Here is a 25,693-nt window from a genome sequence, read left to right as displayed (position 1 = left end):
TGCAGCAGTTACCCTTTGGTAGAGACCTTACATGTATAAAGAAGATCTCCATTTGTAAGGGTGTCTCCCTGTCTGTACAAGGAAGAAAAGAATGACTCTAAGTTACTGAGTCTTACCAATGGAGAAGGCACTGACTTAAATTTACATAACAAACCTTACCCTTGTTTACTGAGTTTTTCCTTGTAACTTCCCCATTATTGGCCCCCCAATGCCTTTCTGTCTTAGTCCATTTTCTATTGCTTATAACATAATGCCTGAAACTAGGTACTTTAAAGAGTTAATATTACTAAAATTTCAATACTACTCAATGTGATCAGACTCAATGCAATTCTGATCAAGATGTCAATGACCTTCTTCACAGAAATAGAAAAAATAATCCTGAAACTTGCATGGAACCACAAAAGACCCTGAATAGCAAAAAAATAAATAAAAAGTTCTAAGCAAAAAAAAAAAGCTGGAGGCATCACATTATCTAACTTCAAAATATACTATAAAGTTGTAGTAATCAAAACAGCATGGTATTGACATTAAAACAGACACATAGACCAATGGAATAGCATAAAGAACCCGAAAATAAATCTATGCATTTACAGCCAACATTTTTGACAAGGGTGCCAAGAGCATACATTGGGGAATGTATGCTATCTCTCACCATACACAGAAATAAAAACAAAATGGATTACAGACTTAAATCTAAGACCTGGAACTAAAAAACTGCTAGAAGAAAACATTGGAGAAACACTCCAGGACACTGGTATGGGCAAATAATTTTTGAGTAAGACCTCAAAAGCACAGGCAATGAAAACAAAAACAGACAGATGGATTTCATCAAGCTAAGAAGCTTCTGCACAGCAAAGAAAACAATCAAAAAAGTGAAGATGTTACCAACAGCAAATCCATACAGGTCTCCAGCAACCTCAGTTCTTACCTCCTCAGAAGAAAGAATTCAGTGGAGGGGTATAGGCAGAAGGAGAGACTAAAGCATGTTTTAGAGCAGGAGTGAAAGTTTATTGAGAAGTTTTAGGGCAGGAATGAAAAGAAGTACAGTATACTTGGAAGAGGGCCAAGCAGGTGACTTGAGAGATCAAGTGCACCGTTTGACTTTTTCACTTGGGGTTTTATACGTTGGCATGCTTCAGGGGTGTTGTGCTGCTTCTCCCCTGATTCTTCCCTTGGAGTGGGCTGTCTGTATGCACAGTGGCCTGCCAGCACCTGGGAGGGGCCACATACACAGTGTGTTTACTAGAGTTGTATACATGCTCACTTGAGGTGTTTTTCCCTTAACCAGTTGAATGTTCCTAGAGGAAGGTCATATACCCATTAAACTCTGCCATTTTGTCTCTTTGTGCACATGCTTGAGCCCACTCATCCAACTCCTGAGATCTTATTGTTACTGGGGGGTCCTTGCTCCCAGAGCTCCCAACATGGTGGCGGGCCACTTCCAAGATGGTGACAGGCCACTTCCAAGATGGTGGCAAGCCTCGTGTTCTCTGATCTGGGTTTCTTTGCCTCACGGATTCCAAGGAATGGAATATTGGGCCATGCAGTGAGTGTTATAGCTCTATTAGAAGCTGTGGGTCACAGAAGAGAACCGTGGAACCCAGTGACTAGTGTTCAGCTCGATTAGGATGAATCTGGGCACTTAGCCATGCAGGAACAATGGCAAGCCTTTAGCCCGATCGGGAGCAGCAATGGGCGCCTCACTGAATCAGGAGCACAGCAGACACCCTGCCAGATCCAGAGGGATGGAAGTTAGTGGCTGGTCTATGATGGCGGCAAACAGCAGTGGTGGATGGCGAGCAAAAGCTCAGCTCAAGCCGTAACAAACACGGACCAGAAGAGAGTGCAGTTGCAAGATTTAACAGAGTGAAAACAGAGCTCCCATACAAAGGGAGGGGACCCGAAGAGGTTAGCCATTGCTGGCTTGAATGCCTGGGTTTATATCCTGATCATTTATCTCCCTCTGTGCTCTCAGGCAATAGATGATTGGCTATTTCTTTATTTCCTGTTTTTGCCTAATTAGCATTTTAGTGAGCTCTTTTTACTATCTGACTGGTCAGGTGTGAGCTAAGTTGCAAGCCCGGTGTTTAAAGGTGGATGTGGTGACCTTCCCAGCTAGGCTTAGGAATTCTTAGTCGGCCTAGGAAATCCAGCTAGTCCTGTCTCTCATTATCAGGAAGCTGCTATCACTAATTTGAGGTTTTTTCTATCTATTGAGAGACTGCCTTTCCCTGGAGCTGGCTGTGACCAAGTATTTTAGACAGACAGTTAACAACCGCCTGACCATCACCTGTTGATCACCTGACATTCCTGGTTGCGGGGGGCCTTCTCCTGCCCTGCTCATGTATGACTAGCTACCTACTGTAACAAAGAGACAAACCACAGAATGGGAGAAAATATTTGCAAACTAGCCATGTGACCAGGGAGTAATAACAAGAATATATAAGGAACTCAAACAACTCAATAGCAAAATCAGTAAACAATCCAATTTCAAACCAGGTGAAAGATCTGAATAGACTTTTCTCAAAAGAGGCCATGCAAATGGCCAATAGGTATGTGTAAAATGCTCAACATCATTAATTTAACCACCAGAGAAATGAAAGCCAAAACCACAGTGAGATATCATCTCATCTCAGTTAAAATGGCTTTTATCAAAGATAGAAACAACAAATGCTGGTGATATTGTGGAGAAAGGGAACCCTTCGTACACTGGTGATAGGAATATAAATCAGCACAATCATTATGAAAAAGTATATGGAGGTGCCTCAAAAAACTAAAAATAGAACTACCATATGACCCAGCAATCCCACAGCTGGGTTATTTATCCAAATGAAAGGAAATCAATGTATCGAGGAGATATCTGCACCCTCATGTTTATTGCAGCACTATTCATGATAGCCAAAATATGGACTTAACCCAAGTGCGCATCAATGGATGAATGGTTAAAGAAAACTTGGTGTATATACACAATAGGATATTATTCAGTCCTAAAATAGAATAAAATCTCATCATTTACAGCGACAGAGACGAACTTATGTCAAGTAGAATAAGCCAAGCCCAGAAAGTCAAACACCACATGTTCTACTCATATGTGGGAGCTAACAAAGCGGATCTCATGAAGATAGAGAGTAGATTGGTGGATACCGGAGGCCAGAGTAGAGGGGAGAAGTGGATAGAGGATGATTGATAGAAAAAATACAGTTACAAGAAATAAGACCTAATGTTCAATAAATCAGTACAGTGACTATAGTAAACAACAATTCATTGTATATTTCAAAATAGCTAGTAGAGAATAATTCAAATGTTCCCAGAGTACAGAAAAGATAAATGTTTAAGGTAGTGGATGTTCCGATTACCCTAATCTGATTATTACACATTATACATATGTATCAAAAGATCACATGTAACCCCAAAATATATACATCTCTTATGTCTCAATTTTAAAAAAGAATGAAATTTATTTTTTACAGTCATGGAGACTGGAAAGCTCAAGGTCAGAGGGCTGCATCTGGTGAGGACCTTCTTTCTAGGAGAGGTCTCTGAGGCATCCCAAGGAGGCACAGAGCATCACATGGCAAGGGGGCTGAGCTTGCTCATGTGCTAGCTAGCCCAGGTCTCTCTTCCTCTTCTTGTAAAGCTACCAGTTCCCCTACCATAATAACCCATTAATCTATTAATACATGAATGGGCTAACCCATTCATTAGGGCGGAACTCTCATGATCCAATCACTTCTTAAAGGCCCCGCCTCTCATACTGCCACACTGAGGACAAAGGGTCAACATGAGTTTTGGAGTGTTTCATGCGTGTCCGTGTGAAGAGACCACCAAACAGGATTTGTGTGAGCAACATGGCTGTTTATTTCACCTGGGCGCAGGCGGGCTGAGTCCAAAAGGAGAGTCAGTGAAGGGAGATAGGAGTGGGGCCGTTTTATAGGATTTGGGAAGGTAATGGAAAATTACAGTCAAAGGGGGTTGTTCTCTGGTGGGCAGGGGTGGGGGTCACAATGTGCTCAGTGGGGGAGCTTCTGAGCCAGGAGAAGAAAATTCACAATGGTGGAATGTCATCAGTTAAGGTGGGGCAGGGCCTTTTCACTTCTTTTATGATTCTTCAGTTCAGGCCATCTGGGCATATACGTGCAAGTCACAGGGGATGCGATGGCTTGGCTTGGGCTCAGAGGCCTGACATTCCTGCCTTCTTATATTAATAAGAAAAATAAAACAAAATAGTGTTGAAGTGTTGGGGTGGCAAAAATTTTTGGGGGGTGGTATGGAGAGAGAATGGGCGATGTTTCTCAGGGCTGCTTCAAGTGGGATTAGGGGCGGCGTGGGAACTTAGAGTGGGAGAGATTAAGCTGAAGGGAGGTCTTGTGGTAAGGGGTGATATTGTGGGTTGTTAGAAGAAACATTTGTCGTATAGAATGATTGGTGATGGCCTGGATACGGTTTTGTATGAATTGAAAAACTAAATGGAATAAGAGAAGGAGAAAAGCAGGTATAAAAGGACTAAGAATTGGGAGGACCTAGGACATCTAATTAGAGAGTGCCTAAGGAGGTTCAGCATAGTCCTGCCAGCAAAGATTATTTATTTACTTCAAGAGTTAAGAGTGGCAGTTTGGGGATAGCACGGGGAGATATCATCTGTGATGGCTTGGAGAAACAGTGTAAACCGGCAGTGTAAACAAGAGCAGGGCATGTATGAGTAGTTGAGAATGGTGAATAGGAGTATGACTAGACAGAAGATAGTAGGGATGACAAGTTATTTGGGGGCACAGTCTAAGTTGGTCTGGTGTCTGGAATGAGATTGGGGCCTAATAAAAAGGAGCGTCTATACAGGAGTTTAAATGGGCTGTACCTTGTAGCATTTTGAGGACAGGTCTGACTTCTGAGAAGGGAAAGTGATAAAAGTATTGTCCAGTCCTTTTTAAGTTGGTGGCTGAGTTTGGTGAGGTGTGTTTTTAATAGACCATTAGTCTGTCACTGAATACTAAGAGCCTGAAAAAATGCTTGGCTGATTTGACTAATAAAGGCTGGTCTGTTATCAGACTACATAGAGGTGGGAAGGCTAAACTAAGGAATTGTGTCTGACAGAAGGGAAGAAATGACTGCGGTGGCCTTCTCAGACCCTGTAGGAAACGCCTCTACCTATCTAGTGAAGGTGTCTACTTAGACTAAGAGGTATTTTAGTTTTTGTGACTCAGGGCATGTTGAGTAAAGCTAATTTGCCAGTCCTGGGCGGGGGCAAATCCTTGAGCTTGATGTGTAGGGAAGGGAGGGGGCCTGAATAATCCTTGAGGAGTAGTAGAATAGCAGATAGAATAGCAGATGGAACACTGAGAAGTTATTTCCTTGAGGATAGATTTCTACGATGGAAAGGAAATGAAAGGTTCTAAGAGGCAGGCTAGTGGCTTGTACTATAGCATAGCCTGCCTTTGCTGGTGTGTGGTGATCAGGCCTGGTGGAACTGGCATCAATAAATCAAGCGTGATCAGGGTGAGAAACAGGGAAGAAGGAAATGTAGGGAAATAGGATGAACATCAGGTGGATCAGAGAGATGCAGTCATGAGGGTCAGGTGTGGTATCTGGAATAATGTGGGAGGCCGGATTGAAGTCTGGGGCAGGAACAGTGGTAACTGTGGGACTTAACAAAGAGTGAGTACAGCTGAAGGAGCTGGGGAGCAGAAATTATATGCGTCAGGTATGAGGAAGAAAATAGACTTTGGAAGTTATGAGAACTGTAGAGAGTGAGTTGAGCATAGTTTGTGATTTTGAGGGCCTCTAAAAGTATTAAAGCAGCGGCAGCCACTGCACGCAGACATGAGGGCGAGGCTAAAACAGTAAGGTCAAGTTGTTTCGACAGAAAGCCTACAGGGTGCGGTCCTGGCTCTTGTGTAAGAATTCTGACTGCACTAACCATGCCTAGGAAGGAAAGGAGTTGTTGTTTTGTAAAGGATTGAGGTTTGGAAGATTAATCGGACACGGTCAGCAGGGAGAGCACTTGTGTTTTTATGAGAATTATGCCGAGATAGGTAACAGATGAGGATGAAATTTGGGCTTGACTGAAGTAATGGGGGCTGTCTGTGAAGCCCTGTGGCAGTACAGCCCAGGTAATTTGCTGAGCCTAATGGGTGTCAGGGTCAGTCTAAGTGAAAGCAAAGAGAGGCTTGGATGAAGGGTGCAAAGGAATAGTAAAGAAAGCATGTGTGAGACCCAGAACAAAATAATGGGTAGTAGAGTGAGGTATTGAGGATAGGAGAGTATATGGGTTTGGCACCACGGGGTGGATAGGCAAAACAATTTGGTTGATAAGGCTAAGATTCTGAACTAACTCGTAAGCCTTGTCCAGTTTTAGGACAGGTAAAATAGGGGAATGGTAAGGAGAGTTCATAGGCTTTAAAAGGCCATGCTGTAGCAGGCGAGTGATAACAGGCTTTAATCATTTTAAAGAGTGCTGTGGGATGGGATCTTGGCATTGAGCGGGGTAAGGGGGATTAGGTTTTAATGAGATAGTAAGGGGTGCATGATCGGTCGCCAAGGAGGGAGGAGAGGTATCTTATACTTGTGGGTTAAGGTGGGGGGATTCAAGAGGAGAATACAAAGGAGGCTTTGGATTGGGAAAAAGGGTGGCAATGAGATGCAGCTGTAGTCCAGGAATAGTCAGGGAAGCAGATACTTTAGTTAAAGTGTCTCATCCTAATAAGGGAACTGGGCAGGTGGGGATAACTAAAAAGGAGTGCTTAAAAGAGTATTGTCTAAGTTGGCACCAGAGTTGGGGAGTTTTAAGAGGTTTAGAAGCCTGGCCGTCAATACCCACAACAGTTATGGAGGCAAGGGAAACAGGCCCTTGAAAAGAAGGTAATGTGGAGTGGGTAGCCTCCGTATTGATTAAGAAGGGGACGGACTTACCCTCCACTCTGAGAGTTACCCGAAGCTCGGCATCTGTAATTGTCTACAGGGCTTCCAAGGCGATCGGGCAGCGTCAGTCTTCAGCCGCTAAGCTGAGAAGATCTGGGAAGGAGTCAGAGAGCCTTGGGCCAGAGTTCCAGGGGCTTTGGAAGTGGCTACCAGGTGAGTTGAACAGTCTGATTTTCAGTGGGGTCCCGCACAGATGGGACACGCCTTAGGAGGAATCCCAGGCTGCGGGCATTCCTTGGCCCGGTGGCCAGATTTTTGGCACTTGTAGCAAGCTCCTGGGGGAGGAGATTCTGGAGGAACGCCTGACCGCTGCGGTTCAGGTGTTTGGAAGTTCTTGTGTGCTGGAGATGTGGCTGGGGTTTGTCTCACAGTGGAGGCAAGGAATTGCAAATTTTTTCTATTATTGTACACCTTGAAGGTGAGGTTAATTAAGTCCTGTTGTGGGGTTTGAGGGCCAGATTGTAATTTTTGGAGTTTTATTTAATGTCGGGAGTAGATTGGGTAACAAAATGTATATTGAGAATAAGACGGCCTTTTGACGTTTTAGGGTCTAGGGCTGTAAAGCATCTCAGGGTTGCTGCCAAATGAGCCATGAACTGGGCTGGATTTTTATATTTGATGAAAAGGAGCCTAAACGCTATCTGATTTGGGATAAAGGAATTGAAATTAAGAGAAGGGAGAGATTGAAGTGTGGCGCCAAGATTGAAAGGAGAAAGAGGTTGAGGGATAGTGAGGGAAGTTGGAGAAGAGAATAAAAAGAGGCCGCTTACCGGATTTGAAATTGGTGAGATGTTTCTTGGGCTGGTCGGTCTGAGGACCTGAGGTCATAAGTGGATCTTTCTCATGGAGCAAAGAACAAGAGGACAGGGGATTGATCTCCCAAGGGAGGTCCCCTGATCCGAGTCATAGCACCAAATTTCATGCATGTCCGTGTGAAGAGACCACCAAACAGGCTTTGTGGGAGCAACATGGCTGTTTATTTCACCTGGGTGCAGGCGGGCTGAGTCCAAAAAGAGAGTCAGCGAAGGGAGATAGGGGTGGGGCCGTTTTATAGGATTTGGGAAGGTAATGGAAAATTACAGTCAAAGGGGGTTGTTCTCTGGTGGGCAGGGGCGAGGGTCACAAGGTGCTCAGTGGGGGAGCTTCTGAGCCAGGAGAAGGAAATTCACAGGGTTAATCACTCAGTTAAGGTGGGGCAGGAACAAATCACAATGGTGGAATGTCATCAGTTAAGGAGGGGCAGGGCCTTTTCACTTCTTTTGGGATTCTTCAGTTACTTCAGGCCATCTTTGCGTATATGGGCAAGTCACAGGGGATGCGATGGCTTGGCTTGGGCTCAGAAGCCTGACAGAGTGGCCATTCAAACCATGGCACCTTCTTTCTTTGTTTCAGTTGAAAATCATATTTAAACCTGAACTCACAGCCACCTCTTTGTGATTTACTCTTTTTCTCTGGGTAGCTCCCATGCATACATGAGCTATATGTGTTAATAAAGTTGTATTTGTTTTTCCCTCGTTAGGCTATCTGTTGTTACAGGGGTCCATCCTAACTAAGAACTATAAAGAGTAGAGAGGAAATTATTTTTTCTTCCCTACATTCCATTACCACTTAAATTTCATTTTGTATTTTTCCAATTTGTTTCATGCATGTCTGATCTCGCCAGCTAAATGTTAAGCTCCTAGAAGGTGAGAACTGAGCTTATATCACATTTGGGTTTCCTCCGCTCTGATCTTGAGCTTATAGCAGGTATTTACTGAGACTTGCTATTTGCTTGAAAAAGTATTTTGCATTTCACTGGAGCTTAACAAATGATGAATAGAAATTATACATACATATATTTTTGTTATAGAAGATAATCTTCTCATGGTCCACAACATCCACTGCATTTAAAAATCTTTCTCCTATTGAGATAAAGACAAAGGGCTAGCAACAGTCTCCTCACTATTTGGGAACTGTAATTTTTGAAGTTATTGGTAATAATTTTGGAATTTCTGTCAAGGAGAGATTTAGGGTAATAACTTTGGTTGGGAAAGCGTATTCAGGAATTTATCTTGAATTTATTGTTTCATAGTGAGTCCACTGATTTTTTAAAACTGATATCTCATGTTTATTTGGGTTAGCTTTGGGAAGTATTGGAGATTATAGGGAAAGAGGTCTAAAGACTTCCACTAGCAAGGTAAAATGCAATGGCAGCACCACTAGAAGTAACCTTTTTAATTTCGAAACTTCTGGATCTAATTCCTTTTCCATTGTGTTAGTTATATATTGCTATAAGACAAATTATCCCAATACTTGGTGATATACACAACGACAGTTTATTATCTCACAATGTCTTTCGGTCAGGAGTTCAAAAATGACTTAGCTCAGGGTCTCTCATGAGGTTGTAGACAAGATGTAGGCCAGAGTTGGAGGATCCATTTCCAAGATGATGTGTCGCCACGAAGTTCCCTGGAGGCCTCGCTTCCTCACCTCTTGAGCTCTCCAGTTTGTTTGAGTGTCACCATGATATGTCAGAGGCTTTCTCCAGAGAGAGGGTGAGGAGGAATCCCAAAGCGTGTTTATCGGGTAGCCTCAGCCATCTAATGCCATGCTGCTATAGTTTGGATATTTGTTCCCCAAACCTCATGTTGAAATTTAATTCCCAATGTTGGAGGCGGGGCCTAATGGGAGGTGTTTGAGTCACAGGGGTGGATCTCCCATGAATAGATTAATGTCCTCCCTGGCTGGAGGGGAGGGAGAGGTGAATGAATTCTGGCTTTTGTTAGTCTCCCCTCTCCCCCAGAGCTGGTTGTTAAGAAGAGCCTGTCATCTCCCACCTTGCTCTCTTGCTTCTTGTCTTACCATATGATATTTGCATACAACAGCTCCCCTTTGCTTTCCACCATGAGTGGCAGCAGCCTGAGGCCTTCACCAGAAGCAGATGCTGGTGCCATGCTTCTTGTACAATCTGCAGAACTGTGAGCCAAATAAATCTCTTTGTTTATAAATTACCCAGTGTCAGGTATTCCTTTATAGCAACACAAAATGGACTAAGACACATAGCATTAGCCTTGTTCTATTCATTAGAAGCAAGTCACCAAGTTCAGCTTGTACTCAAGAGGAGAAAAATTAAGCTCTCCCTTGAAAGAAGGCATGCTGTCAAAGAATTTGGGACATATATTAAAACCACCAACCCACTGTTAGCAAAATCACCAAGCATTGGGGAGGGTTCCATGCCTCTGACTTACCCAGGGCCATTGTTTCTGAAGTTGTATTGGTCAAAATGGGCTGTTGGAACAAAAATGCCCCCAAAATCTCAGTGGCTTAACACTATAAAATGTTATATCTCATTCTTGCTCCAATATGGGTTGGGAGAAGGTCTCTGTTCATTATCACAACTCAGGGACTGAAGATGATGAAGGCTCCATCTCAACACACACATCCATGATTGCCAAGGCAGAAAAGGGATGCCGCGAATCTCATGCTGTTCATAAAGCTTCAGCCTAGAAGTGACACACATCACACAATGTATTGGCCAAAGCAAGTCGCACGGTCTGGCTTCAAAGGGGTGACTAGGGAGTGCAGTGGTAAGTGTCTGAAGTGAGGGGAACCAGAGTGCTTGCTAACATACAGTAACGTCTATTGTCACCTCTATTTGACCCTGCTTAGTCATATTGCACTTAGGGGAAAAAAGAATCAAAATGCAAGAGCAAAGTCAAAACATCCTTTGTGTGCTTTCACTGGGTTCCCTAAGGGAATGCTGCTTTGTAGAAATATACTTTAATCTCTTGTACATTCACATTGGCCTATTTGCAGGGTCTAGAGCAGATAATACAGGAGAATGAGGTTTTTCTCCCAGTTGCATAGCTACATTGTCCCTGTTTAGCCCTCAAGTCTCCTCTCAGAGAATGGTAGGAAAAGCAGGACATAAGTCTCACAAATGCAGTTGGTGATATATAATTTTAAGTATCCTATCATTTTCTACTTATGTCATATTCACTATGATCTTGGTAATTGGGAGGGTATTCACTCCAAATCTGTGTGCTTTGCTATTTGTCCCCCACCTCTAGAATTCATTAGAGTTTCAGCAATAATTAATGACCCATTAACATGTTAAGTACCACTCATCATTATGTATTAATCCAGCATTAAAAATAATGGGCTTGTCCTGGGAGAAGTGGCAGCACTGTTCCTGCTGGAAAGCAGTCAGTCACTTGGCTCTAGGGAGCAGAGGCTGAGAGTGCTCTTCCTCCCCAGTCATATTGTTGTCATTCTTGCAAAGCAGCCACAGTCTAGTTTTGGGAACTGCAGCTGGGAAATTACGGCAGCCCTGTTTGCATTCAACTTGGCCTACACTCCAGAAAGACACAGTGAATTTAGGGAAGAGTCTAAATTTTTTTTCAAATTATGAATTTTCACTATATTCTAAAATATGAGTTGCTCAAGTAGGAGAAGCGGGCCATCCTTCAAAACCAAGCTCCTACTCTAAATTCCCTATGAGGGCAGCCATGTAGGTATGCCTTGGCATCAACCTTGCAGGAAAAGAACTACTAACATGGTGAATTCCACTTCCTGGACAAGTATCATGAGCCCAGGTTCTCACATCAATCTACATAAGCAATTGCTTTCTAAGAAAATCACTCCAGACTGGGGACACTCTAATTCTGCTTCCCAAACCTTGTCTGTGTGTTTTGAACACAGTTTCAACCACTGATGTTGGGGTTTCTTTCCTAGTGGTCCAGTTAAGATGTCACAGGATCTCATCCATTACCTAAACCCCTGACTTCCCTTCTGCCACGCAGACAAAGCATCAGGGGACCCCTCCCTGCAATAGGACTTTATTTTTCTAGCCTGATTGGTATTTAGCAAATCCTTACTTAGTCACTTAACTGCTTACATCACATCTGCCTTGACGGTGAGGCAGGATATTTTCCTGACCCTTTCACAGGCAGGAACTAGAGTGCATGGGCACTAGAACTAGCCAGCCACTTTGGTGCCAGCAGGGGCAGACTGTATTGGCTTGGTCCTGCTGCCTTCCACCCCTTGTGGGAGGGGGAGTACAGGTGAGCAGGTGCAGGAGCCAGGGTGAGCGCTTTTGGGCACCGGCAGGAGCAAAACTTTGTGCAACCCCACGGCAACATCTAAGGGGTGACTGCAACCCTGAAGCCCCAGTAGGGGGGTTACAGTGCCCTTTTAGCTTTGCCATCCATGGACAGCATAAGTGTTAACAGCTCAATGGAAGGTCAGTGTGACAGCCTTTTGCACCCCAACTCATGGCACCCGAGTTCTTGTCTGGCATTCAGGAAGAATGAGGTCACATGAACAACTTGAAGATGGTAAATGCAGGGGATTTTATTGCCAATGAAAGTGGCTCTCGGTGGGAAGGGGAGCTAGAAAGCAGATGGGGCAGGAAGGTGATCTTCCTCTGGAGTCCAGCCATGCCTGGCCAGACTCCACTCCGAAGATAAGCTGTCAAGCTGTCCTTCTGAAGCCAAGCCACTTCTCTCCCACGTTTGACCGTAGTCTCTGATATCCAGCTGCTTCTCCTCTCTGCCAGCTGAGTTCTGGGGTTTTTATAGGCACAGGATAGGGGGTGAGGTGGGCCATGGGTGGTTTTGGAAAAGGCAACATTGGAACGGGAAATCAGGGATGTATGTTCTCACTTTGGGCTGCAGTATTAGGCTTTTTGGCTTCAGGGTGGAGCCCTCGCTGGGGACCCACCCTTTTCTGCCCAGAATTTCACTGCCTCCTGTCCCTATCAATGGGACCGTCCCCAGTGACCACAAAGGCTCTTGCAGTTCTATTTTGCATCCTTAATTCCTTAAGGTCTCATTGACCATGTTTTGGCATTTCCCCAGCACCCACAGGTACAGAGAGAAAAGAGATGAGGGATAGAATTGTTACTGGGGGGTCCTTGCTACCAGAGCTCCCAACATGGTGGCAGGCCACTTCCAAGATGGTGGCAAGCCTCGCGTTCTCTGACCTGGGGTTCTTGGCCTCTCGGATTCCAAGGAATGGAACCTTGGGCCATGCAGTGAGTGTTATAGCTCTATTAGAAGCCATGGGTCATGGAAGAGAATTGTGGAACCCAGTGACTAGTGTTCAGCTCGATTAGGATGAACCCAGGCACTTAGCCATGCAGGAACAATGCAAGCCTCTTGCCTGATCGGGAGCAGCAATGGGTGCCTCACTGGATCAGGAGCACAGCAGACACCCTGCCTGATCTGGAGGCATGGAAGTCAGCGGCAGGTCTGCCACTGCGGCAAACAGCAGTGGTGGACGGTGAGCGAAAGCTCAGCTCGAGCCATAGCAAACACGGACCAGAAGAGTGCAGTTGCAAGATTTAATATAGTGAAATAGAGTGAAAACAGAGCTTCCATACAAAGGGAGGGGACTCAAAGAGGGTAGCCATTGCTGGCTCGAATGCATGGGTTTATATCCCGATCCTTGTTCTCCCTGCTGTGCTCTCAGGCAATGGATGATTGTCTATTTCTTTACCTTCTGTTTTTGCCTAATTAGCATTTTAGTGAGCTCTCCTTACCATCTGATTGGTTGGATGTGAGCTAAGTTGCAAGCCCCGTGTTTAAAGGTGGAAGTGGTCACCTTCCCAGCTAGGCTTAGGGATTCTTAGTTGGCCTAGGAAATCCAGCTAGTCCTGTCTCTCAGAATTGCCCTTCTCAACTACAGCCACAGGGCTCAACACCTCCTCTCCCTTGGATCAGGAGCATGTATAAAGACATCCACACATAAGAACAAATCTCTGATTCTCTGACCCAAAATAAGGAAATAAGATTACCTAGAAAGAAACTTGACCTGCAGTTAAAAAAAAAACAAAAACAAAAACAACAGGTACTCGAGGCTCTGAAGTCTGCCCTGGCATTTGGCTCTGCCACTGGCAGGCAAAGTATTTACACCACTAAGCCCCAGCTTCCTCTTTTGGAAGAATGAGGATGGTGATAGTTCTTATCTCATAAGGGGTACTGGGAGAAGTACAAGAAATAATGCATGTAAAACAGCACCAAACCTAATGAACACAATTGTTATTACCCAAGAATGTTGTCATTAATTCTAATTAGGTTTTCCCATATTGGTTGCCATTTTTCTGCACAATTTATTGTCTCATCCATACTGGTGGGCAAGGGTTCAAGTGCACCCCAAACAAGTGTGAATATTTCCCAAGCAAGATGGGGAAGGAATTCATTGTCATCATCCTAACAAATAGGTTCATTGCCCAATGCACACAGCCAGTCAATATGCCCAGACACTGGGTTGCAGCAGAGAAAGAGGTAGGGTCACCAAATGAGATGGGAAGGAACCCCAAATCCATTTTCCTGAGGAGTTTAGGGTAAGAGTTTTTAAAGGTTTTGAAGTGGGCCAAGGTGTGGAGATCCTTGATTGGTTGATGAGTGCAGGGTGAAGTCCTGGGGCAGGGCGAGATGAAGAAGCTGTATTCTCACTCTGATCCACTGTTCTGAAAAGCATATTAAGTGATCTTTATGTCAGAGATCCTGTCTATGGGAACAATGCAGATGCAAATTAATTCTTAAGCAGCCTTAGGACCCTAATGCCAGAAATCCTGTCTATAGGAACAACGGGGATGTAAGTGGTCAGAATCCAGTGCTGCACGGCTTTCAGCAACAAGGAAGTGGGCAGAAGTGCACGCTGAGTAATGCTTCATTACAATGATATTTCTGTCCAGAACCCGGCATACAATTTGTCAACACTATGGGGACAGTTGCAGTAACGGAGTTGAGATTACGCCCTCCAACCCTGTAGCTCATACTTCACATTGGAATTCTCCTCAAAGTGCAGAGGTGTGCATTTTGTGGGGATATGAGGGAAAAGCTATCTCTTGGGTAAAGAGGGGAGGCCCGCTGGGGGTCGGCAATAGGATGAGGTAGCACAGCAGCCTTGCTCCCCACCACCCCAGTAGTCAGAAAAAGCCCAGCCTGAAGAAAAGTCTCAGAGTCCGCTGAGACAATGGAGGGGACTCAGCAGGTGACAAAGCCCCACCCTGCCCAGCAGCAGCCACAGAGTGCTGTCCCCAGCAAGGGAGGGAGGGCGCTGAGGCTCAGGGGACCCAGTGGGACGAGGGATGCAGCCTTCCCATCTCCACCATGCCCCCCATTTCATGGACTTTGGGACCCTCTCAAGGTCCATATGGCCCAGTGGCCAGCAAGGCTGTTTTCAGAATGCAGACCCAGTACAGATGCGTCACCAGGAGCCTGTGCCCTGGCCTGTCTTGACTAGCGACCCCCTTAGTCCTGTCAGCCCTGAGAGACTCCAAGGCAAGCCTCTGGGGGCTGAATCTAACAAATCAACCATCTCCCCAGGACTCTATCATGAGGCTGCACATTGGGTTCCCCTCCAACAGAACATTTTTCCCCAGAAATCACAGGATTAGGCCTCCTAACCTTCTCTCCCTAAACTGCCATGTCCAGGTGTTACTTGTAAGCTGACCATCAACTGAACCATAGTCATGAGAAAATGTGGATTTATATGTAGATTTGCTTGCAAGAGAAGTTGGGGGACCCCGACCAGGGACCAACAGTTTTGTTCCTGTGCTTCTGCCTGACCTGTGTCCTTGTCCAGTGCCTTGGCTCTCCTTCGTGTCTGCTGCAATCTCACTTAGGCAAAACTGTGGCTCTTTTACGCGGCCCCATTTGGTCTCTGGATGAACTGGGATACGATACTTTCATAGTCACATCCATTAGCAGGGACGGCTGCCTCAGTGACAGGTGTGGGTTGGGGGAAAAGCACACACTTGAGTGGCAGAGCCGGCTACTGCTCCTCCCAGGCACTTGCTCCCTCTTTCCTTCCCTGTCCTCTGCTCTGGAACTTCATAATCCTGAGCCACAATTGTGCACATCAGAGGAGAGATACAGGAACTAACAAAAAAGTGGCCCAGCAGTTTTGTTCCAGAGAATTGAGTTTAGAGCACAACGCCTCACCTGGGCTACCACAGTGCCCTAGAAAGCTGTAGATGGATACAGGATGTGATGGTGAGTTTCATGCATCAGCTTGGCTAGGCTATAGGACCCGGTTATTTAATAAACACTAATGTGGACGTTGCTGTGGAGGTATTTGTGGTGTGGGTCACATGTACAATAAGCTGATTTTCAAGAGATTGCCCCTGATCATGTGGATGGGCCTCATTCCGTTGATCCCCCTAAGAGCAAAAACTGAGGTGTCCCACAGAAGAAATTCTGCCTCAAGACTGCAGCCTCAACTTCTGACTTCAGAGCTGCTACCCCGCTGCTTTGAGGCCGGAGGCCCTGCTGGGCCCAGCCTCCTGTGGCTGAGTGTCATCTATTGTCTCACGCTCAGAAGGACCCCAGCCCCATCCAGAAACCAAACACACCCTGTGGTCAGTCTCAACTCAACCTGCCAACCACCTAGCTGTGATTCTGTCCTTCTCACTATGCTTATTACAAACAGGTGGACCAGGCTATAACTGGGCAAGATCTGCTGATGGCTTACTGCTGACTGAATCAGGCAGGGGTGCCTGCTCTTAAAGGTGTTTCTTTTTAGTGAGATCATGGCCTTGGGTGTGAGGCGAAGGAATAACTAGGGGCTAGGGAGCAGCAGATCCAGGTGTGAGGCCCAGCCCTTATGTTTATTGCCTCTGTCTTCTCACCTGTAAAATGGGTTCACAACAATAAGATTACTCACAGTGTTGCTTTGAGGCTCAAAGAAGGAAAGGTGTGTGAAGCATGTTGAGAACTATGAAGAAAAATACCAAGGTTAATAATTAATTAAAGCATTTTTACCACTTTCCATCGAACTATTGAGAACAACAAAAAACTTTTCCAAACTGTGGCTAAAAGCAAGAGGTCGGTCTCTCCTCTAACGTTTCTTCTTTGATTCCCAGGCTTTTGCATTTAGCCCAAAATAGGCTCCTTGGTGCCCTGCGTTTTAAGTAGGAAGTGACCAAGTCACTGACTTCCCGGAATCTGTCTCTGCCAACACAGGCCATAGAGTCCTTAACAACCCGCCTGTGAACAGTTATTTATAGTGTTCACCTCAGGCGGACACCACTTTTAGGGCAGCAGGGAAATGAGAACATCCGCTAAGGGCGGTTTAGATCGATCTGTTTTGCCCAGCTCTGCTCAGCTGGGAGAAGTCTGCTGTCTGCTCCACAGCCCCTCCACTTCAGAGCAGGTAGTCGTGGCTTGCACTGTGGGCTGTTCCCCCAGCCTCTACACAGCTAGAAGACAACCTCTTCCTGTTCACAGAGCTCTAGAGGGGGACAAGGGAGTGTCAGCCTAGCATCTGTGGAAAAAGAGTTCAGGGAGGCTGCAGTGAGCCATGGGAAAACCTAGGTCTCTTCCCTGCTAGTGTGTGACTTCCAAGACCTCTGGCTTCCCCTCCTAAGTGACGGTGGCATGCTCTGCCTGCGTGTGTCATAGAGATCCTAAAACCTCCCGTGAACAAAGACTGGTACACAGGCGGGTAACAGTGTTGCTATTATTCTTTCTTCAGTAATATGACCCAACACAAGCAAAGAAAGAGACAGGCAGGCTGGCTTCACGGCTAGAGTTGCTGAAGATGACCACCGCAGGAGGGAAAGGAATCACGTTCATGGTTACTTGTCATCAGTGCAGAGTTCCCTCCCAGTGTGTTAGGACAAAAGGGAAGAACCTCTGCAGTTGAGAAGCAAGGCACAGATAAGAATCTTTGGATTTCTTCGGTTAGGTACTAAATGCCTGGAGTGCGGCTTTTTCTGCCAGCAGCTGCGTCCAGTCATTTGTGGTGTTGAGGCCAGGGTAGCGGCCCTGTCCTGGGAGTCGGCCTCAGTCTTTGGCTTTGGCTGTAAGGCACACTGAGAGAAACTAGGCTGCAGGCCGCTCTTCTCTGCCTTAAACCCCTCTGGGTGGGGCAGCTCTCTCGAGAGCAGTCATTACTGCAGCTGTGTGAGCTGCAGGGTGGCTGAGCAGAGGAAAGGGAGGCACGATTGCTCACCCCTTGGGAGGCGGCACAGGTCACAAGAGAGCTTTGGAGTTGTACAAATCTGGGTTCCAATCCTGGATCTCCCTTCTTAGACATTCAGACCACCTCTCTAACCCTCGGTTTCCTCTTCTGTGTAGTGGTGATAATCCTACAGGCCTCAAGATTTTGGGGACACCAAACGAGAGCACAGAAAACCAGTGCAGGGGGGAGGGTGCTGGTGCAGGGTAGTTGGTGAGTGAGCATGACCCTCAGCACCCCTGACTCCACCGTTCACACCTGAGAACGTAGGGCCGGAGATGACTTTGCCAAGACTGAGCACCAAGCAAGAAGCACGGCTGCGGGAAACGCGGCATGCTCAGGCATCCACAGTCTTTAAGCTAAATGACATCTTACTGAGCGCTCCCTTCCACAAGACTCCGTGTTGGGAACTGTGCATGCGAGGGATCTAGGTTGCCTGGGGGAGGTGCTCTCCCCTCACCTTCTTCAGAAAACAACTTCCAGGTTTAGTGTTTAGAGTAATTTTTTTTAAATGTACAAAAAGTGCTTTGGTGTCCAAAAAAATGTGTTGAATTTGAAAAGATTCAGATGGCATCCATAATCTTCATCCCCGCCCTTCCAGCCCCGGGCTTGGTACCTCTGCAGGGCATGCCCAGGGTGGTTGGGGACTGGCACAGGTCTGTGGCCCTGGGGGTTGGGGACCCCTGCAGTAGGGTCCTGAGACTTTGTGAGTCGCTGGGCTGCCTGCAGGGCCAAGGGGCATAAGCAAATCTCCATCCTGGCATTGGTGCAGGTGAAAAGGAGGTGTAAGTCCCTGCTGCAAATGGAGAGGACACAGATATGACACAAATGGAGAGAGACAGTGAAAATCACCGAGAGACCAGGCTCTGCCCGGGCTGGCCATCTACCAGCCACCCAGCCATGGGATGCTGGACAGTCCTCAGGCTTCTCGGGGCCTCTGTTTCCTCACCCAGGAAATGAGCTCAGGCCAGAGGGACAGTTTTCAGGGTTTTCAATTTTTTTTTTTAAAGCAGCAGAAACTTTTCTTTAAAATAAACCATGAGCAGAGCCCCAGTACATTAAAAAAAAAAAAAAAGTAGAATCTGCCTGGTGGAGTGGAAGTGGGGACCCAGAGGCCTTGTGTGCCTTGACCCGAGGATGTGTTGTTGGGGCCGCACTTTCAGAGGGGCACCCAGCACCCTATATTGGGCCCACAGGTCTACATCTGTTCCCATGTCCCAATTTAGCTGTAAGTCCTTGCAGGCAGGGGCTGTCCTAGAGCACTTGGGGTGGCCAGAGCCCAGCCCAGCACCCTGCTCACACGCTCTGGTGACATGTCATTAGTAGAGGCAACTTGCGCAGGTCTGCAGCAACCTCCATTCTTGCCTCCTCAGAAGAAAAAATTCGACTGAGGGGCATAAGGCAGAAGAAAAGACCAAGGCAAGTTTTAGAACAGAAGTGAAAGGAAGTAAAGTACACTTGGAAGACAGCCAAGCAGGCAACTTGTGAGGTCGAGTGCAGGGTTTGACCTTTGATTTGGGGTTTATATGTTGGCACGCTTCCAGGGTCTTGCATTACTTCTCCTCTGATTCTTCCCTTGGGGTGGGCTGTTCGGGTGGGCTGTTCCCATGCGCAGTAACGGTGCTTGAGAGCGGGGCATGCACAGTGTGTTTACTGGAGTTGTACACATGCTCACTTGAGGCGTTCTTCCCTTACCAATCTGGCATTCCTAGAGGAAGGTCATATGCCAGCTAAACGCCTCCATTTTGCCTCTTAGTGCGCATGCTTGAGCCCACTCACCCAATCCCCTGCAACCTTATCGGGAAGCAGCTGATCACCAGCTTCAGGTGTTTTCTGTTTATTGGGAGACTGCCTTTCCCTGGTGCTGGCTGTGCCCAATTATTATTTTAGAGAGACAGTTAACAACAACCTGATCATCACCTGATGGTTGTCTGACATTCCTGGTGTGTGTGTTGGGAGAGCCCCTCCTGCCCTGCTCATGCCTGGCTAGCTACCTCCCTCATCAGTACTGCAGTGGGAAGAGGCAGCCGGTAAGTCGATGAGAAGTGCCTCCTCTGCAGCAGGGCTTTCAGTCTTGTACACTTCACGGGGTGGCCGGTTTTCTATTTTTCCAAAGACTGGTATTAAAATAGACAATTGTCCCTACTGCAGTCACCTGCAGTTATTCAAATAAAGGGCATTTTGGCAATAGTAAAATGGCTTGGCCCTTGGGGACCACTACTCTAGAGCCACTTCCGGTCATTTGCTTGACCTTGTCATCTGCCTGTCTTTGCAAGTGAGTTCGCTTTAGGCTGACCTTTGGTCCATGGTGGTCCAGGTCTGCCTCCTCACAGCCCTCAGGCGTGGCTGGCTGTGACTCATCTGAGCCTGGAGTGTTGTCCTCTTGGTGGGCACTGATCACTGTGACATCTCTGCCTTTGGTCCAAAGTCCTGTCTGTACTTTAATAGAATATGACTACTGAATCTTGACCTTTGGCAAGAGAGGCCTGGGGTGATTTAAAGTAAACAAAACAGCCCTTACCACCAGAACCTGCCCAGGGAGGCAGGGACAGAAGTAAAGCAGTGTTCTGTCCTCAAGCTGGTGGCGACACAGAAAGAAAGCCAGAAAAAGCAGCCCCACAGTGTGTTAACTGAGTCCTCACAAAGTGCTGCAGGAACCCATTGGTGGAAAGAGTTCCTTGACTAGCGTTGAGGGAGAGGATGTGCTTGTGAGGGGACCAGGGAAGGCTGCTTGTAGGAAAAACAATGTGATGGTCCTTTCATTTATTAACTTATTTATTGATTTATTTTGTAATTACAACTTTACTTTAGATTCGGGGGGGGGGTGGTGCATGTGTAGGCTTGTTTACATGGTGGGCATATTGCATGATGCTGAGGTTTGGGATACGAATGATCCTGTCAGCCAGGTAGTGAAAACAGTACCCAGTAGTTTGTTCAACCCTTCTCTCCTCCCTCCCTTTCTGCCCCCTCTAGTAGTCCCTAGTGTCTATTCCCATCTTTATATCCATGAGTACGCAATGTTTAGTTCCCACTTGTGAGAATGGCGGTATTTGATTTTCTGTTCCTACGTTAATTCGCGTAGGATAATGGCCTGCAGCTGCATCCATGTTGCTGCAAAGGACATGATTTCATTATTTTTATGGTTGCAATGGTTCTTAAAGGCTGAGGAGTCTGCCAGGCTAAGTGGAGGGGACACCCAGCAGAGGAGGAAGAGCAAGTAGTGGCATGAAAGACTGTCAATGTCAGTAACTTTGGGAGAATGTGTCTATATCATTTTTTCAACTAGACCATTTTCTTTAAAGTGTGGTGAAGGCGCCACTCATAAATATCCTGTCTGCAGAGCCCTTAGACCTAACTGTTATATGTACATGCCAATTTGCTGCCAGAAACTAGTTTTGGTGGCCTGCACTTTGCAAATGACAGGCCCGTCACTGCAATGTGGCAATGGAGGTTTCAGGTGGAACCAGGACACTTGGAGCTATTTTGACAGAAGCCTTTTCTCCCACAGGAGGCCCACCTTGGCAGTAGTCCTGAAGGTAAAAAGAACTCTGGATTAAGGTGTCTGTATGATTTTCTGTAGACAATCAGGGTCTTGGGCTGCTTGTGGGAAGTTTCCTGGAATGGCACAATCAATTCCAGGGCTCCACCTGAAGCTTCAAGCCCACTTTCCAGGATATGTAGCCCTTCTGCACATAAAGCACCCTGCCAGGCATTGCAGGGCGTCTGGGGAGAAAAGGTCCTTGAAGAAGACTCCAACCCCATTCTCCAGTAGGCTGGGATTCAGGAAGGGCTGGAAGACAGGAGTGAAAGTAAGCATTCCATGCAAGAGGTCCAGAGTCCAGTGAAGACTCAACGGCACTTCCAGTTTGTAAACGTGGAAAGAAAAGGGAAGGCAGGGTGAGCTCTGGGTGTTGAAAGAGATTGGAGTGGGCCACAGGGAGAAAGGGGGTGGAGAGGAGTGCTCCAGGTGGAGTGAGGGAATGGTGGGAGTGAAAGTTCATAAACAAGGATAGAGGGAGAGCTTTTCAACCTCCTGGAATTGCCAAGTATCTTTCTCCTAAGGGCTAGGAACTCCCTGGCAGCCTGACTTCTTTAGGAGATCCCTCCACTGAATTCTCCACGCACCTTCAAAATCAGTCCAGTCTGAGGTTTAAATGGTAAATCATGTGATTGAATCAGCAGCAACAGACTGGCCAGGAACACCTTTGGAATATGCAGTAGAGACTGCCCTGCATGACCTGGGGTCTCTGGGGCAGATGGTTCAGCCCAACAGCATTCAATGTTGCACCCTGGCTCTTGAATAAGCACTGAGTTGATGGTGGTGATTCTGAAGGGCTGTTATGGATTGAACTGTGTCTGCCCAAAAGCTGTTCTAACCCCAAGCACCTGTAGATATGACCTTCTTTAGGAATAGGGTCTTTGCAGATGATCAAGTTAAGATTAGGTCATTAGGGTAGACCCTAATCCAGTATGACTGGTGTTCTTATGTAACAGGGAAATTTGGAAGCCAACCTGTACAGAGGGAAGGCTTGTGAAGACATGGGGCAAATGCCATCTATAAGCCAAGGAGTGAATGCCTGAGGCTACTAGAAGCCAGGAGAATGGCCTAGAACAGATTCTCATTCACGGTCCTCAGAAGACACCAACCCTGCCAAGACTTTGACCTTGAACTTCCAGCCTCCAGAGCTCTGAGACCATACATTTCTGTTTAAGCCACTCTGTTTGGGGTACATTGTTAGTAGCAGCCTTGGGAAACAAATACAGGGGTGTATTAGTTTATTATAAAAAAATCTTCAGGTTGATGATAAGTATAATTATGAAGGCTCAGCACTAGATGCTGTGGTTGATTCTTGAGATAACCACCAAGATCCCCCACATCTCCCACTATCAATTTGTGTTAGTTCTGTTCTATATGGGACAGTGGAATGAGTAATTGGCATCTCATACTTGGCACTTTTGGCCAAGCATAATCTGATAAATCCCTCCCCAGAAAAATGCCCACACATACACTCGAAAAAGGCACAGACTTCTGCACTAAATTTCTAGTGTCTCATGTGCTGGCACACTAGTGTAATAAGTTGAGAAAACAAATAGTAGTGATGGCTCACTGTGATGTACCAGCAAAATCTCAGAAGGGAAAGCCAACAGCAGTTCACTGGGGTCTCGAAGGGCTTTGGCAGCAGGCCTTTGTGATAAATGATTCAGGGTTATTGCTGGTGATTAGGGATGTACCCAGAGGAAGTTGGTGTCCATTCCGACATACGCAATACAGGTATCTGATGTGCACCTGGCCCCTGCCAGGAAAGCAGGGGGCTGTGTCTGAACTGATCCACAGATGCCCGCTGACTTTGTTGTCACCCTTCCCATCAGAAGGGGTGAGCACCAGCACGGTATGAGCAGAGCAGAGGTGAAGCTGCCTCGTTTGCTCTGTGGCATGTGGAGCTGCCCTCCCATGGCTCAGGATCTTCCTCCAGGACTTCAATTTAGTTTGCTACAAGAGAAAATGAAAAGCTCTTAGTAGACAAGTCCAGGAAAGAGCTCACTGGTTTTCAACTCTCCAATACACCCCAAACATTATTTTGCACATGTGATCAGGAGCACTTACCCAAGAGGGTCACTAGGCTGGCCCTTGTCCGGCTTTTCTCTGCCTATCTCATCTGGAGATGCCATGCTAAGTTGTAGCAAATGCCAGTGGACAAACAGATATTCCACAGCATTCTTTCCATGGGCAACGACCACATGGGAATAGCCCCATTCTAAATCACTCATTGTCCCTTGAAGCTAAAAACAGTCCAACAAATAAAGTCACTTTTTGGTTTGCATAACACTAATTTTCTCCAAGATAATGTTAACAGCTCTGCACCTGCATCTCACCCCAACTTTTGCCCACAGCAGCCCCTGGATCTCACCTCAACTTCTGCCCACAGCAGCCACAGCATCACTACCTGATCCTCTTCAGGAGGAGTGGTCTGTGTGAAGAGGAGAGTGACAGGAAAGGGGGACAAGTCTCCAGGGACTCAGGGACTACTTAGTAGAAAGTGTCCTTATAGGTGGTTTCCTAGACTTACATCTGACCTCCACCATTGATTTGGTCGCCATCCACAGAAAAGGGCAAAGGGACAAAATAGAAATCGAAATCCAGCGAGCGAAATGTGATGATGAGGGCCTCATCACCTTTGGCACACCGTACTGGCTCTGCTATACTTGATACTGTCCATTTTCCAATATAATTGGGGAAAAAATATGGTGATCAGATGCCCGTCACCCACACCAATCTCCCTGCTGTGGGCTGAGTTGTGTCTCCCCAACATTCACACATTGATCTAACCCCTGGGACCTCAGAATGTGAATGTATTTGGAGATAGAGTTCAGTCACCTTTATAGAGGTGATTGAGCTAAAATGAAGTCATTTGGGTGACCCCTAATCCCATATGACTGGTTCCCTTAAAAGAAAAGGAGATGAGGACACAGACACACACAGAGGGAAGACCACGTGAGGACACAGGGAGATGACGGCTGTCTGCAAGACATCGATTTCCAGCCTCCAGCACTGTGAGAAAATAGATTTCTGTTGTTCACACCACTCAGTCTGTGGCACTTTGTTAGGGCAGTCCTGGCAAACTAATACACTCCCCTTAAGTCAAACTTGGATATACCTAACATTTGTAAAGAACGGTTACTTCAAAAAAAAAAAAAGCTTTTGTAACCATTTTCTTTTGGATCCTTCCAACAACTCTGCAAGATATCACAATGGTTATTTTGCAAATGGAGGAACTGAGGCTTAAGAAAGTAAAGGAATTTACTTCTTGTGCAGCAATAATGGGCAGAGCTGCGGGACTGGAGCTGCCCTTGCCCTCTGCTCTCCTAGCAATTTTCTTTTATGAGCAAACCTACACGGTGTAAACCTCCTGGGCAACTGTTCTTTTCTGCACACTTCACTATATGAACGTGGAACATTTATAGAGATAGCCTGTAAGAGCTGAATTCCTGCTGCCTCTAACTCCAGACACTTTCGCCTGAATGTGTACTTCTCACTACTGATAAACCCGTGACTCAGCTGGAAATCCTCGTGGTGAAGGAACTGAACACAGAAAACACACATTCGTAAAGACCAGGTGTGGAAGTCTCCAGCCCTGTTTGCACCGCAGCAGACAGGGACACCACAGCCACACGGTACTTGGAAACCCGAGCTTGAGATGATTGATGGAAGTGTTAAAATGCCAGAGCATTTGGGGAATGTGGTATGGGCAGTCCCAGAAGAAATGGCCCTGCTCAGATGCCATCCTGTGGGGTGCGGCTTAATGGGGCCACTCACTCATCTGGGATGTGAAACTTTGAAGACAAATACCTGTTTACTTCATTCGCCCCAGATTTTATACATGCTTTTTAAAAAACAACTTTATTCATGTATAGCTAGGATAAAATGAACAGCACATATTTAAAGTGCCCAATTTGATGAATTTTGATATTGGTGTACATGTGTGAAACTGTCATCACAATCAAAATAACAAACGCCTCCATCATTTCCAAGTTTCCCCATGTCCTTTGTAAGCCCACCTTGCTCCCCCTTCCCCCACACAAGCCCAACCTCCCATCCCTTCCCAGCAATCATTGATACGTTTTCTGTCTCTATGGCTTAGTTTGCATTTTCTAGAATTTTATATAAATGAAATCATACAGTATGTGTTATTTTTGTCTGGCTTTTTTTTCCATTTAGCATAATTACTTTGAAATCTGCCCATACTGTTGTCTGTATCAATAGTGTATTCCTTTCATCTCTGAGTGTCATTCCATTTTGTGGAAATGCCATAATTTGCTTATTCATTTGCCTGTT

At 46.2% G+C, this 25,693-nt stretch overlaps 2 long non-coding RNA genes across 2 annotated transcripts in view; one reads left to right on the top strand and one right to left on the bottom strand.

The window, feature by feature from the left end:
• LOC105373143 (uncharacterized) overlaps positions 1 to 7,044 on the bottom strand; it is a 16,656-nt gene extending 9,612 nt beyond the window's left edge. Inside the window, exon 1 of the long non-coding RNA XR_949234.2 lies at positions 6,904 to 7,044. This is a non-coding gene — a long non-coding RNA (uncharacterized LOC105373143). The remainder of the gene's footprint in view (positions 1 to 6,903) is intronic.
• On the top strand, positions 5,871 to 25,693 carry LOC124904539 (uncharacterized). Its single transcript, XR_007066920.1, has 3 exons — positions 5,871 to 6,104; positions 6,953 to 7,065; positions 23,752 to 25,693. It is a non-coding gene; the product is annotated as an uncharacterized LOC124904539 (long non-coding RNA).

The sequence above is a fragment of the Homo sapiens genome, chromosome 1 (genome assembly GCF_000001405.40).
Source record: "Homo sapiens chromosome 1, GRCh38.p14 Primary Assembly".
NCBI lineage: Eukaryota > Metazoa > Chordata > Mammalia > Primates > Hominidae > Homo > Homo sapiens.
The sequence above is the reverse complement of the archived record's forward strand: the minus strand, read 5'-3'. Positions and strand labels throughout refer to the sequence as shown.